The following is a 13,572-nucleotide window of genomic DNA, read 5'->3' on the forward strand; positions in this document are numbered from 1 at the left end:
TTATATTCATATGTAAGTTTATAAATTCAGAAAGCATTCCGAAAATTCATAGAGTACCCAGGGGTAACTTTGCTTGTCTCTAGTGTTGAACTAGAAGTGGGAGGAAGATTTAATTTTCACTACATGCCCTTTGGTGCCTTTTGAATTCAGAACAATTTCCGTTATTTATTAAAAATAAAATACAGCCGGGCGCGGTGGCTCACGCCTGTAATCCCAACACTTTGGAAGGCCGAGGCGGGAGGATCACTTGAACTCAGGAGTATCACTTGAGCTCAGGAGTTTGAGACCACCCTGGGCAACATAGTGAGACCCTATGTTTACAAAAAGAAAATAAATAAAGTAAAATACCACGTGTTACTGAATCCCTGGTATTTGGCGGGACACTGGATACTGGAAACAATTGTGGAGCTCTTTGGAAATTTACCTTAAAAGGGAGTCCGCTCAAAGGCAGGAATGACTCTACAAGGGTGAATTTTCAAATCTGCCATAGGGGCCTCGGGCCTCAGCAGCATCCAGAGCCCTACGGACGGGCAGGTTCTTACGTCTCAACTCCCATCGCACCAGTCCTGCAGCTTTCTAAAGGTATCCAGCACTTTCTACCTTGCATTCTATCTTCATCTTCGCTAGGCCTCACAGCACCGCATGATTCCGGGGGAGGGTGCTTATCAGACTCGCGTGTGGCCCCACGGCACCTAGGGCACCGTCGAGCACACGGTCCGGGAAGCTCCAATGAAACGGAACAAACCGCGAGATCAGGGGAGGTAGGAGGCCCACCCTACGCCCTGCCCCCGCGGAGCACAAGCCCCGCCTGCGTCCCGAGCTCCCGGGTCCGCAAAGCTGGGCCCCAAAGAGCTCCAACGCCGGAACCAAGGAGCACGGAATGCCGGGAACAAGCTCCTCCCGTGCGCGATGACGACAAGGCCGAGGCGCGAAGGGTGGGACCGCAGGAGCCGTGCAGCCGCGGACCAATGAGCGGGCGCCGGACGACCTGTGGCCCAATGGCGGCGGCGCGCGGGCACGCTGGGGGCCGGCCAGACGGGCCGACTTTTCCAGAAGACCCGGATAGTTCCTCCCGGCCACGCCGCGCCGGCTCTGGGCACTCAGCATCGTTTCCTTTTCCTCCGCTGGAGCAGCTATGGCGGCGGTGAAGACCCTGAACCCCAAGGCCGAGGTGGCCCGAGCGCAGGCGGCGCTGGCGGTCAACATCAGCGCAGCGCGGGGTCTGCAGGACGTGCTAAGGACCAACCTGGGGCCCAAGGGCACCATGAAGATGTAAGGCGGGGCTGAACCGGAGGGCCGGGCGGGCACCGCGCGCCGCCGCGCTCCTGGCGGGCCCGGGACCGCGGACTGGAGCCCGCCGCCTCGGGGCTGCGCAGCCGTCCTTCTCGGCGTCCTCCGGGGTCGGTCCTGTGTCCCTCCTAAGCCCCACCGTCCCGGCCATTTCTTCCCGCATCGATGCAGTCTCCGCGGAGAACAAAGCGGCTCTAGAGCGCGGCGTTCCCCGCCCTCTGGGGCTTCCAGGCACCCTGAGGACTCGGCACAATCTCTGCGGGGACGGGGTGGGCACTACACCTGTCCTCCATCCTGCTGGACATAACTAGCCCCACATCCCTGGCTCCCTAAAATCTGGGAAAAGCCCGTTTTCTAATGGGACTTTTAGTTATCGTTGAAAAAGTCATAGTCTGGTTCATTTCTGTCCTTTAAACAGGCTCGTTTCTGGCGCTGGAGACATCAAACTTACTAAAGACGGCAATGTGCTGCTTCACGAAATGGTGAGAGGTGCTCTGGGCTAGGTCAGAAAGGTCTTGATTTTCCGTAGAATGTTTTCTTTGTAGAAAGATTTGCAGTGTCCATTTTCAAGGTAGGAGAACATTCAGAAGTGGCGTGTAATCAGTAATAGTCCTGAGTGCCTGGAGTCTGACAGCCCTGCCTTTGAATCCCTGCTTTTTTGCCATTCACAGTCCGGGCTAAAGGGCTGTAATTGTATATTAAAGTTAATTATTTTAAAACTTGAAAAATTAAGAGAGGTTGACACAATCACATGGGCAAAATGCATGAGGATGATTTTTCTTTTCTTTTCTTTTTTTTTTTTTTTAATTAGACGAAGTCTCGCTCTGTCGACCAGCCTGGAGTCCGGTGGCACAATCTCAACTCACTGCAACCTCTCCCTCCCGGGTTCAAGCGATTCTTCTGTCTCAGTCTCCCAAGTAGCTAGGATTACAGGCTCGCGCCACTACGCCCAGTTGATTTTTGTATTTTTAGTAGAGACAGGATTTCACCGTGTTGGCCAGGCTGGTCTTGAACGCCTGACTTCAGGCGATCCCCCCGCATCAGCCTCCCAAAGTGCTGGGATTACCAGGCCCGTGCCCAGCTGGGTTTTCTCTTTTTAAAACAGCAGTTTCTCTGTTAGGTCTCATCTCTATCTCCAACTGGAGGGGAGATAAATCTGTCTCTTTGCAAGTCTTAGGGATGGAGAATATTAGATTATTGAGGGGAGTATGCTTTTTACTCATCCCTAAATTCCCAAAACTTAGCAGTTCAAATCCAAGAAAAGGAAATTATTTCCTGCTGATTTGAGTTCAGAATAATATGTAGGGTTTTGCTAGTGGTATACCATGCCATCAACATCCAGATGAAATATCTTTAGTAAGGACTTGCTAACCTAGGAGGTGTAGTTTTTGTTTTTAGTGGGCTCAGTGGTGGCCCGTGTTTGAAAAGTGGAGCCACAGTTAAACTTGACTTCAGAATTGTTTGGGGGCTAGGTGTGGTGGCTTATGCTTGTAATCGCAGCACTTTGGCAGGCCAAGGTAGGTGGATCATTTGAGGCCAGGAGTTCACGACCAGCCCTGGCCAACATGGTTAAAACTCCGACTCAGCTAAAAATACAAAAATTAGCCGGGTGTGGTCCTGCACGCCTGTAGTCCCAGCTGCTTCAGAGGCTGAGGCAGGAGAATCGATCGCTTAAACCTGGGAGACTGAGGTTTCGGTGAGCCAAGATTGTGCCACTGCATTCCAGTGTAGGAGACAGAGTGAGGGTATCTCCAAAACAAAACAAAAAATTATTTGGGTTTTAGTGTGTGAGAAATACAGCGTAGGTAGAGAGAAGCACATTGAACATTTACAATTTAAGAAATAATTATAAAATGGACACACACAACCACCACTGTAGCTAATAAATTGTTGCTACCACCTCAGAAGTCTCGTCCCATTGGAACCTCTCTCCAATCTCCAGAAGTCTGTTTTTCAGTTTTCTTTGAAAAAATTACAAACCTACAAAAATAATTATAATGTGTGTGCCCTTTAGGAGATACCTGGCTTATTCTCACTAGAGCTCTACACTTGCCATAAAGAGGCAAGGATGTACAATTATGTGTTACTGTTAACTGGTAGCTCTGTCATCTTGAGTAAACTTCTACTGAGCCTCAAGCTTCCTCATCTGTAAAGTAGAGATAACCTGGGAAATAAATTACACATGAAGACGTTTCAATCATTATAATTGCATGTGCATGATAGTTAATCGAAGTAATTTGTAGCCAACATTTGGGTAGCTTTTTCAAGTAGATAGCACTCAAAGAGGCCCTTCCTGCATTTTGTCTGTGGTATATTTAGACTGCTTCATATTGTTTTAAGTGATTCATTCTTTTTCTACTTACAGCAAATTCAACACCCAACAGCTTCCTTAATAGCAAAGGTAGCAACAGCCCAGGATGATATAACTGGTGATGGTACGACTTCTAATGTCCTAATCATTGGAGAGCTGCTGAAACAGGCGGATCTCTACATTTCTGAAGTATGCACAACTCTTGTTTCTGTAATTTTTTTTTGTATATAGGAAGTGTCTGATATTTATACAAATTGATGTGCTGTTAATAGTAGCTGAGGTCATACAGTAGAATTAGGGGGCTTAAATCTGGGTCTTTATCCTGGTCTAAAACAAATTGTGACCTTGGACAGGTTATAGAACCTTTCTTGGCCTGAAAATAATTTTGTAATCAAGTTGCATTGCCTATGTGATTTGCATCTGTCTTTAGTGTAGATTAATAATTGAGATCTAAAAATGGAATGTTTAGGACTAGGCATATTTGTTAGGAAAAAGGCAACCAAAAGCTTATATTTGGATAAATTCCACTTTTTTAGCCCTGACTAGTTCCAAGGTTAAAGCAAACCTCAGTGAATATGAATGTATTGTCAGAATTTCCTGGAGAAAGAGAACAGTCTTTATTTTTATTAGTAAATGATGTGAGTTAGTTTGAGATTACCTATAGAAAGGATAGAATAGTCCAGGCGCAGTGGCTCACGCCCATAATCCCAGCACTTTGAGAGGCCGAGGTGGGCGGATCACCTGAGGTTGGGAGTTCGAGACCAGTCTGACCAACATGGAGAAACCCCGTGTCTACTAAAAATACAAAAATTAGCCAGGCGTGGTGGTGCATGCCTGTAATCCCAGCTACTTGGGAAGCTGAGGCAGGAGAATTGCTTGAACCCAGGAGGTGGAGGTTGTGGTGAGTCGAGATTGTGCCATTGTACTCCAGCCTGGGTAACAAGTGCGAAACTCCATCTCAAAAAAAATGAAAGAAAATAAAGATAGGATAATGCTACCATCTGTGAGTTGTTGGGACACAGTGTTGGTTTTGAAATGATTCAGAGTGGTTTGCACAGTGAACACCCAAGTGTGCTTTATAGTTCCCTTGGCTTTGACCCTGTGCTAGAGCATTCATTACCTGTTCATCTGCTCTGCATTGAAAGGAATATTTGTCCTTTTAAATGTATTCAGAAAGCCAGCACATTATATTACCTCGTGTTCAAAGGTATGATGATCCAGAACACTCCTTCAATAATTACCTGAACTTTATCATGAACTATGGTTGCACCTAATTGAAGATGCAAGTGTTAATGTGTGTTTATTTTAGGGCCTTCATCCTAGAATAATCACTGAAGGATTTGAAGCTGCAAAGGAAAAGGCCCTTCAGTTTTTGGAAGAAGTCAAAGTAAGCAGAGAGATGGACAGGGAAACACTTATAGATGTGGCCAGAACATCTCTTCGTACTAAAGTTCATGCTGAACTTGCAGATGTCTTAACAGAGGTATGTATTAAATTTTGTCTATGTCTGGTATAGTATACCTATATAGAAAATCTCTGATAGTAGAAACATGAATATGATTACCAATTTCAATTACAAGGTGCTGTGTAGGTTCATTTTTGTGGCAATGATACCTAATCTGTGTCTCTAAAAATGAGGAAATTAAAATAATAGTATACCTAACCAGGTTATAAAAGTAAAATTGAAGCTTTCATTAAAAGGTTTATAAAGTGGAGATTTTTTTATTAGAAAGCTTCCAGTTACCAGTATTTTTAATAAAACGAGGAATGTTAATGTTAATTAATGTTAATGTTTGGGAATTATAGATGGAGATTTCAGAAATGTAAATGACTTCAGCTGTTGCCTTTTACATATAATGTATTCTATTTGCTGATAGAAAAAGACTTAAATCAGTGTAGAATTGTAAAATGAAACTGCCTACTTTAGCCTTCTGAAAAGCAACATGTTTCTGCTGCAAATTGAATTTACTTAACGGTTATGCTCCTCCAATTGCAGGCTGTAGTGGACTCCATTTTGGCCATTAAAAAGCAAGATGAACCTATTGATCTCTTCATGATTGAGATCATGGAGATGAAACATAAATCTGAAACTGATACAAGGTAGGTGGTAGAAGACTGTGAAATACTAATGGGCATGGAGGCTCACACCTGTAATCCCAGCACTTTGGGAGGCTGTGGTGGGCAAATCACCTCAGGTCAGGAGTTCCAGACCAGCCTGGCCAACATGGGGAAACCCCGTCTCTATTAAAATTACAAAAATTAACCAGGCGTGCCGGGCATGACTGTAATCCCAGCTACTCGGGAGGCTGAGGCAGCAGAATAGCTTGAACCTGGGAGGCGGAGGTTGCAGTGAGCTGAGACCACACCATTGCACTCCAGCCTGGGTGACAAGAGCGAAACCCCGTCCCATTAAAAAAAAAACAAAAACAAAAAATAAACTGTGTTTAGAAATTTAGGGGTGCTTTGTACAATATAGATAGTTGGCTTTTTTTTTTTTTGAGATGGAGTCTTGCTCTGTCGCCCAGCCTGGAGTGTACAGTGGCATGATCTCGGCTCACTGCAAGCTCTGCCTCCCGGGTTCACACCATTCTCCTGCCTCAGCCTCCCGAGTAGCTGGGACTACAGGCGCCCGCCACCATGCCCGGATAATTTTTGTATTTTTAGTAGAGACGGGGTTTCACCATGTTAACCAGGATGATCTCGATCTCCTGACCTCGTGATCCGCCCACCTCGGCCTCCCAAAGTGCTGGGATTACAGGCGTGAGATGGCAATTTTAAAAATATCTTTGGATATAAAATGTTATATATTTACCTGAAGATATAAGTTGGATAAACTGCTAGGAGAATATTGTTTTTAGTAATATTTTCTCCTGAAATAAGGTGAATGTTATGTTTATGGTTAGAATGATTCTGAAAAGTGAACAACATCAGTCATTTGGCATTTATTGAATTGCTAGGTACAAAGCATAATGAGAAGTAGTAGAGGAATTTAAAAAAATATTTTTTTCAAAGAGTTAGTTAGAAAACATGTTTGTTTTCCCTTTGGGGTGTGTGTGTGTGTGTGTCTGTGTGGAGAATGGAGTCTCCCTATGTTGCCCAGGCTGGTTTTAAATTCCTGGGATTAAGGTGTCCTCTCACTTCTGCCTCCGTAAGTGCTGGGATTACAGGTGCTTGGTAGAAAACATGTTTTTAAAGGACGTCATCACAGTTTGACAGCCTACCAGTGAGACCATCTCTGCAGACTTTTCTGTACAGCGTAGGATCTTCAGGTAATTTAAGAAATAGGCCGGGCGCAGTGGCTCATGCCTGTAATCCCAGCACTTTGGGAGGCCAAGGCGGGCGGATCACGAGATCAGGAGATCGAAACCATCCTGGCTAACACGGTGAAACCCCGTCTCTACTAAAAATACAAAAGAATTAGCTGGGCATGGTTGTGGGTGCCTGTAGTCCCAGCTGCTTGAGAGGCTGAGGTAGGAGAATGGTGTGAACCCAGGAGGTGGAGCTTGCGGTGAGCCAAGATGGCACCACTACACTCCATCCTGGGCAACAGAGCGAGACTTCATCTCAAAAAAGAAAAATGTGACTGCGTGAAATATCAATACCTTCTCATTTCAGTGTTTAATATATTAAATACCCATCTGAAAATCAATAACCATAATTTTGTGTGTGTTTAAACAGCTTAATCAGAGGGCTTGTTTTGGACCACGGAGCACGGCATCCTGATATGAAGAAAAGGGTGGAGGATGCATACATCCTCACTTGTAACGTGTCATTAGAGTATGAGAAAACGTAAGTTTATAGCCCCTTAACAGTGAAATGGAGAAGCTTCGTATTTTAGGCGAGTTACTTTTTTGTGAAACTTTGTTTCCCACTGTAAGGACAATAATGCTCAAATTGGTTTGGGGGAGCTATAGGAAACAGTCTCTGAAGATGCATAAGGGGCAGGATTGGAGCTCAGTGAACTGTTAAATCTTAGGACTAATCCAGTTTCAGAAGCTGCTTTCTTAATGTTTCCCTGCTTTCTGTAACTTTTTTTTTTCTTAATAGAGAAGTGAATTCTGGCTTTTTTTACAAGAGTGCAGAAGAGAGAGAAAAACTCGTGAAAGCTGAAAGAAAATTCATTGAAGATAGGGTTAAAAAAATAATAGAACTGAAAAGGAAAGTCTGTGGCGATTCAGATAAAGGATTTGTTGTTATTAATCAAAAGGTGAGAATGAAAACTCAATGTATAAACTAAATAGTACGTATCATCCTTTTTACTTTTAAGGTGAAAGATGTTGAAATTAATTTTTATTTTTGTTACAGGGAATTGACCCCTTTTCCTTAGATGCTCTTTCAAAAGAAGGCATAGTTGCTCTGCGCAGAGCTAAAAGGAGAAATATGGAGAGGTATCCGAGTAATTTGACTTTTACTCATTTTGCAAGTGAATTGGGATTATTTCTTTTTCCTTATACTTTATTTTTGGGTTTTTCAACTGTATAGTTAATTGGCATTAACTATATTCACATTGTGCACCCCGTCAGCACTGTCCATCTCTAGGACTTTTTTCATCATCACAAACTGAAACTGTATACCCATTAAATAGTTACTCCCCATTTCTCCCTCCCCCTTGCCCCTTGTAAACATTATTTTACTTTTTGTTTCTGAATTCAATATACTTTTTTCCAAAGAGCTCCCCACAATAAAAAGCTTTTTTTAAAAATTTTTTATTATTATTTTTTGAGACAGTCTTGCTCTTTCGTGCAGTGGCATGATCTTGGTTCATTGCGACTACCACTTCCTGGGTTCATAGGATTCTCAGCCTCCCGAGTAGTTGGGATTACGGGTGTCTGCCACCATGCCCACTGAATTGCTTTGTGTTTTTTTAGTAGAGATGGGGTTTTGCCATGTTAGCTAGGCTGGTCTCAAACTCCTGGCCTCAAGTGATCCACCCACCTCAACCTCCCAAAGTGTTGGGATTACAGGTGTGAGCCACCATGCCTGGCTAATAAAGAGCTCTTGTCCACCTTTTAGATTTCATTTGCTAACTTGGGGAGAGTGGTTTAAATGGAGGGTTAAGAGAAAAGACTAGTTTTTAGCTGGTTGATGGCAAATGGAAAGGCTTAAAGTACATTTTAAAATTTAATTTTGTGTGTAATTCTGAAAAATTCCTTCCTAAAAATTACTGGTCTTATCTTTGAAATTCACTGGTAACGTTGCTTATCCATCTCCCTTAAAATGCTATTTCAGGCTGACTCTTGCTTGTGGTGGGGTAGCCCTGAATTCTTTTGACGACCTAAGTCCTGACTGCTTGGGACATGCAGGACTTGTATATGAGTATACATTGGTAAGTGTATTTTTTTCTTAAAGGTAATAGAACCTTTTAGCTCGTGAATTATTTTTGTTTGTTTGTTTGAGGTGGGGTCTCACTCCTGCCCGGGCTGGAGTGCAGTGGTGTGATCACAGTTCACTACAGCCTCATCTTCCTGGGTTCAAGTGATCCTCCCGCCTCAGGCTTCTGAGCAGGTGGGACCACAGACGTGTGTGCTACCATGACTGGCTAATTTTTTTTTTTCTTGGTAATTTTTGTAGAAACAGGTTCATAATTGTGTTGCCCAGGCTGGTCTTAAACTCCCGGGCTCAGGCTGTCCTTCACCCTCAGCCTCCCAAAGTGCTGAGATTACAGGCATGAGCCACCGTGCCTGGTTCATGAAGTCTTTAGCAGAAAAATTAATTGAAATTCAGGATCAGATTTTTGTTTATATACATTTTGAAGGTTTATGTGTAGTAATGGGAAGCCATTGATGGGGAAAATCACATTTCTTTTATGTGATTTTTCAAAAGGAGATAATTTGCTTTAATGTGATCAAGTTTGTTCCTTATTAATATGCTACTTGTCATTCTCTGTAAGTCCCTCTTCTCTCTTCACTCTGCACAAATCCTGTTTTTGAAAATCATATTTTTTCTACACATAGGGAGAAGAGAAGTTTACCTTTATTGAGAAATGTAACAACCCTCGTTCTGTCACATTATTGATCAAAGGACCAAATAAGCACACACTCACTCAGATCAAAGATGCAGTGAGGGACGGCTTGAGGGCTGTCAAAAATGCTATTGATGATGGTAAGATCCTCACTGTATTTCAATTCTTTTATATTGTTTTGCTGGTCTGAAAGGCATGGCCGAATACTGTGTTTTTATCAGTAGTTTACACAGCCAGACACCATGCAAAAGCAGTCTTCCCTTTAGAATGACTGATGGTATGCTAAGGTTTTTCATAGCATATCATTATTAAAGGTGAATACAAATAAATGAACTAATACTGATCTGTTGAAAGCTGCCAGTGGCTAGTGAAGCCATTCTGGTTGAACCATTCTCCTATTTGGTATGTTAGTCACTTGTATTTTGTCATAGTAAATTTGTAAGAAATTAATGGCTTTCATATGTATATTTTGTTATTCATAATTAGTTCTGCAGTTTTCTTAGCATTTTTCCTTTTCCCCCATCCAACAGGCTGTGTGGTTCCAGGTGCTGGTGCCGTGGAAGTGGCAATGGCAGAAGCCCTGATTAAACATAAGCCCAGTGTAAAGGGCAGGGCACAGCTTGGAGTCCAAGCATTTGCTGATGCATTGCTCATTATTCCCAAGGTGTGCATGCTTTTAACAGTCAATCTTCCAAAAGATTCAGCTGATCAAACCTTTCTGATAATGTAGGATTTATTCATAAAGTGGATTTTGGATAAGCAAGTTTGATCAGTTTTCTTTCTGACTCTAGAACAGGTATTCCTCATCATCCAGATATATTTGGTTTCTCTGGGAAGCCTGAATAGCTGACATTGCAGATGGCAAGAGATAACCTGTAGTTTAATATTTGCAGTATTAGGGGTTATACTTGAGTACAAACTTGCTTTTTGCTTTTGTTTTAAACTGATATCATTGTTTTCTATTATATACCAGTTTTGATATATAATTTATGACTGGTGTATTGCTGCTGGGTTTGGGGTAGTTGAGAGAGTTGATCAGTAACTTGTGTCTGGTATTCTCTGAAGGGAACATAAATGTTCTGTCTTTATGCAATGAGTTTTTTTTTTTTTTTTTTTTTGAGACAGTTTTGTTCTTGTTTCCCAGGCTGGAGTGTAATGGTGCGATCTCAGCTCACTGCAGCCTCAGCCTCTCGAGTAGCTGGGATTACAGGCACCTGCCACCACACCCGGCCAGGTTTTTTTTTATTTTTAGTAGAGATGGGGTTTCACCATGTTGGCCAGGCTGGTCTCGAACTCCTGACCTCAGGTGATCCACCTTCCACGGCCTCCCAAAGTCCTGGGATTACAGGCGTGAGCCACTGCACCAGGCCGAGATTTTCTTTTTCTTTTTTCTTTTTTTTTTTTTTTTTTTTTTTTTTACTATCAGTTATTAGTTCCTGTTTTCTCAAGAATTAAATTTGTTTACTTTAGGTTCTTGCTCAGAACTCTGGTTTTGACCTTCAGGAAACATTAGTTAAAATTCAAGCAGAACATTCAGAATCAGGTCAGCTTGTGGGTGTGGACCTGAACACAGGTAAGAGAATGCAACTGTTGTAGAGGGAAAACTAGATGTAATACGTGTGAGTTGAAGCCAGGAAAGATTAAAAATGTTTTGCTTTGCAATTTGACACCAGTGCTGTTAGGGAACTCTGGGTTCTAAAATGGGATAAAATAGGATATTAATAAAAAATGGAATGACTAGGTATAATTAAGGGACGAGTAGACATGAGTAATTTGGGGATACAATTTTGGAGATGTTGAGTGGTGGTAGATGGTTCAGATTAATGTTGAAGGATTTTCATATTGCATTTGCCTTACTCAGTTTTTAATCAAGTACTATGATAAGAAAATAGATGTGGTGATTATATTCATGGGTGAAAACCAGCTAAAGATAGCAATTAATGCCAGAAAAGGGGATGTAGAAATCTAGTGAAATGGTGACAGCCCTGATCTTAGGTTCCTGTAACAAAACAACACAAATTAAGTACAAAGTAGGAGATAACAGGTACCTCCATGCAGTATGTGCAAGACCTATTGTCAACATTAATAGAAAAGGTTTCTGGAATGAGGGAAATGATCAGTCCATTTTAGTCAGATTATAGTTGAAGTGCTATACTTCAGTATGAGTAAACAGAAATGTATCCAGAAGAAGAGAGGGGTGTTCAGGACTTCTAAGTATAAGTCAGACATTCATCAAATATTGTGGACGGGGGTCATGGTTTAGAGTAGAAAATTGGGCTAACAGAGAAGCTTTGAATTCTCATAGTTAATACTGGAGGAAATGAGTCATCAGTGATAAGCAAAGCTGCACACAATATTGTTGGTTCTTACTGACTGAACTTATTTTAAGATTTGGTTGCCTTTTAGGTGAGCCAATGGTGGCAGCAGAAGTAGGCGTATGGGATAACTATTGTGTAAAGAAACAGCTTCTTCACTCCTGGTAAGTTTGGGAAAATGAAAACTAAACTGTTAGAGAATCATACTTTTTTCATTTGGTGTTCTCTGTTTAGTTGCTCCTTTCCCCCATGAATAATGTGATCAGCTGGAAGTATGGAAACTGAACTAGCCCTCTGATGTGTAGAGGGGAAGGGGGAAATTTAATTGGATGTAATGTGTGCAGCTTGGTTGGAAGTGGGAAGTTGAGTCGAATTAGGGCTCCTAATCATCTGAGCCATCTTATTTTTGTCCCCCTTTCAGCACTGTGATTGCCACCAACATTCTCTTGGTTGATGAGATCATGCGAGCTGGAATGTCTTCTCTGAAAGGTTGAATTGAAGCTTCCTCTGTATCTGAATCTTGAAGACTGCAAAGTGATCCTGAGGATTACAGCTGTGGAATTTTTGTCCAAGCTTCAAATAATTTTGAAAGAAATTTTCCCATATGAAAAAAGGAGAGAACACTGGCATCTGTTGAAATTTGGAAGTTCTGAAATTATAGTATTTTTAAAAATTGCACTGAAGTGTATACACATAAAGCAGGTCTTTTATCCAGTGAACAGGATGTTTTGCTTTAGCAGCAGTGACATAAAATTCCATGTTAGATAAGCATATGTTACTTACCTTGTTATTAAATATTTCTTGAAAAGCAAATTTTAATGGTTTAATTTTATGTGGACGTATGTTAAATTATCCAACTACCCTATTGTTAAGCATTTGGTTTTAAAATTTTTATGCTAATATAAATGCTCAAGTAATTTAAAATATTGAAAGCATCCCTGTTGGTATAAATTTCTGAGTAAATGCATTGGATCAGTTGGACTTTGAACGCCTTTGAAATGGCTTTGCTAAAATGCTCCCGCCACAAAGTTGTAGGAAATGGGAAGAGGAGTCAACTAGAGGCAAGGGAGTTGAGAGAGCTGCAACTGTAAAGGGCAAGAACAGGCAGAGGTAAAAAGATGATGGAAGGTGTGGTGACTAAGGGCCACGGTTATTGGGTGAAATTTGAGATTGTAGGCCAACTGTATTTTCAAGCTTCTGAACTTAGGCAAAATATTCATCGCAAAGTCTCTAGCGTCATATTTTTCTCACCCAAATTACGTTTCCACGAGATTATTTATATATAGTTGGTCTATCTCTGCAGTCCTTGAAGGTGAAGTTGTGTGTTACTAGGCTGTGTTTTGGGATGTCAGCAGTGGCCTGAAGTGAGTTGTGCAATAAATGTTAAGTTGAAACCTCCTTTCTGTTCTTGCAATGGTATGACGCACAAAAGCAATCTTAAGGGGAATGAAAACTGTCCAAAGGTTCAGAAAAGTAGTGAAGGGGCCTCTGGAACGGCCGGGACCCTCAACGTGGTTTTCCTTAATTCCCTGGGCGGTCCTGAAGGTGGTGTGGCCAGTCCTCCGCCTCGCTCCGTCAGTTTCCCCCTGCTGAACTATTGGGTGCGGGGCGGGTGGTGGCGCAGCCTGCGCATGTGCATAGGGGTCGACTGCCGCTGCGGTGCATGAGGGCGCATGCGCAGCGGGGCCGTGGGT

General features: G+C 42.4%; 2 protein-coding genes and 2 non-coding genes across 40 annotated transcripts in view, besides 5 other annotated features; 3 read left to right on the forward strand and 1 right to left on the reverse strand.

The window, feature by feature from the left end:
• PSPH (phosphoserine phosphatase) overlaps positions 1 to 731 on the reverse strand; it is a 40,381-nt gene extending 39,650 nt beyond the window's left edge. For 34 of the 36 annotated variants that reach the window (NM_001370509.1, NM_001370510.1, NM_001370504.1 and 31 more), the window contains exon 1: positions 425 to 731. The gene's annotated coding sequence lies outside the window, so the exon portion shown is untranslated. The remainder of the gene's footprint in view (positions 1 to 424) is intronic. The other 2 variants (NM_001370513.1, NM_001370514.1) reach the window with 1 other exon arrangement.
• Positions 458 to 507: an enhancer, noted in NCBI's record as "active region_26048". NCBI's record gives its function as "activates an Ori minimal core promoter by ATAC-STARR-seq in GM12878 lymphoblastoid cells {active_cell/tissue: GM12878}" and the evidence as "EXISTENCE:reporter gene assay evidence [ECO:0000049][PMID:35858748]".
• Positions 898 to 987: a silencer, noted in NCBI's record as "silent region_18194". NCBI's record gives its function as "represses an Ori minimal core promoter by ATAC-STARR-seq in GM12878 lymphoblastoid cells {active_cell/tissue: GM12878}" and the evidence as "EXISTENCE:reporter gene assay evidence [ECO:0000049][PMID:35858748]".
• CCT6A (chaperonin containing TCP1 subunit 6A) lies at positions 1,052 to 13,276 on the forward strand. Of its 2 annotated transcripts, NM_001762.4 has the most exons (14): positions 1,052 to 1,272; positions 1,709 to 1,772; positions 3,656 to 3,790; positions 4,911 to 5,084; positions 5,598 to 5,701; positions 7,280 to 7,390; positions 7,649 to 7,808; positions 7,907 to 7,989; positions 8,831 to 8,927; positions 9,556 to 9,703; positions 10,094 to 10,227; positions 11,034 to 11,136; positions 11,970 to 12,042; positions 12,300 to 13,276. In NM_001762.4, the coding sequence occupies exons 1-14, from the start codon at positions 1,136 to 1,138 to the stop codon at positions 12,370 to 12,372; spliced, it is 1,596 nt and encodes a 531-aa protein (NP_001753.1). In that variant the 5' UTR covers positions 1,052 to 1,135; the 3' UTR covers positions 12,373 to 13,276. The 2 variants fall into 2 exon arrangements, with proteins under 2 accessions (NP_001753.1, NP_001009186.1); NM_001009186.2 differs by lacking the exon at positions 3,656 to 3,790.
• Positions 1,088 to 1,227: an enhancer, noted in NCBI's record as "active region_26049". NCBI's record gives its function as "activates an Ori minimal core promoter by ATAC-STARR-seq in GM12878 lymphoblastoid cells {active_cell/tissue: GM12878}" and the evidence as "EXISTENCE:reporter gene assay evidence [ECO:0000049][PMID:35858748]".
• SNORA22B (small nucleolar RNA, H/ACA box 22B) lies at positions 4,652 to 4,789 on the forward strand. Its single transcript, NR_145724.1, has one exon. It is a non-coding gene; the product is annotated as a small nucleolar RNA, H/ACA box 22B (small nucleolar RNA).
• SNORA15 (small nucleolar RNA, H/ACA box 15) lies at positions 9,757 to 9,889 on the forward strand. Its single transcript, NR_002957.1, has one exon. It is a non-coding gene; the product is annotated as a small nucleolar RNA, H/ACA box 15 (small nucleolar RNA).
• Positions 11,763 to 12,057: an enhancer, noted in NCBI's record as "tiled region #2601; HepG2 Activating DNase matched - State 5:Enh, and K562 Activating DNase unmatched - State 5:Enh". NCBI's record gives its function as "activates a minimal TATA promoter and a strong SV40 promoter by Sharpr-MPRA in HepG2 and K562 cells {active_cell/tissue: HepG2 | K562}" and the evidence as "EXISTENCE:reporter gene assay evidence [ECO:0000049][PMID:27701403]".
• Positions 13,426 to 13,475: a silencer, noted in NCBI's record as "silent region_18195". NCBI's record gives its function as "represses an Ori minimal core promoter by ATAC-STARR-seq in GM12878 lymphoblastoid cells {active_cell/tissue: GM12878}" and the evidence as "EXISTENCE:reporter gene assay evidence [ECO:0000049][PMID:35858748]".

Source organism: Homo sapiens, chromosome 7, assembly GCF_000001405.40.
Source record: "Homo sapiens chromosome 7, GRCh38.p14 Primary Assembly".
Classification (NCBI taxonomy): Eukaryota; Metazoa; Chordata; class Mammalia; order Primates; family Hominidae; genus Homo; species Homo sapiens.

Coding starts and splice junctions, on each gene's coding strand:
- CCT6A (NM_001762.4), top strand. CDS start 1,136: ATGGCGGCGGTGAAGACCCTGAACCCCAAGGCCGAGGTGGCCCGAGCG. Junction 5,702..7,279: donor AAATCTGAAACTGATACAAG/GTAGGTGGTAGA, acceptor GTGTTTAAACAG/CTTAATCAGAGGGCTTGTTT. Junction 7,809..7,906: donor TTGTTGTTATTAATCAAAAG/GTGAGAATGAAA, acceptor TTTTTGTTACAG/GGAATTGACCCCTTTTCCTT.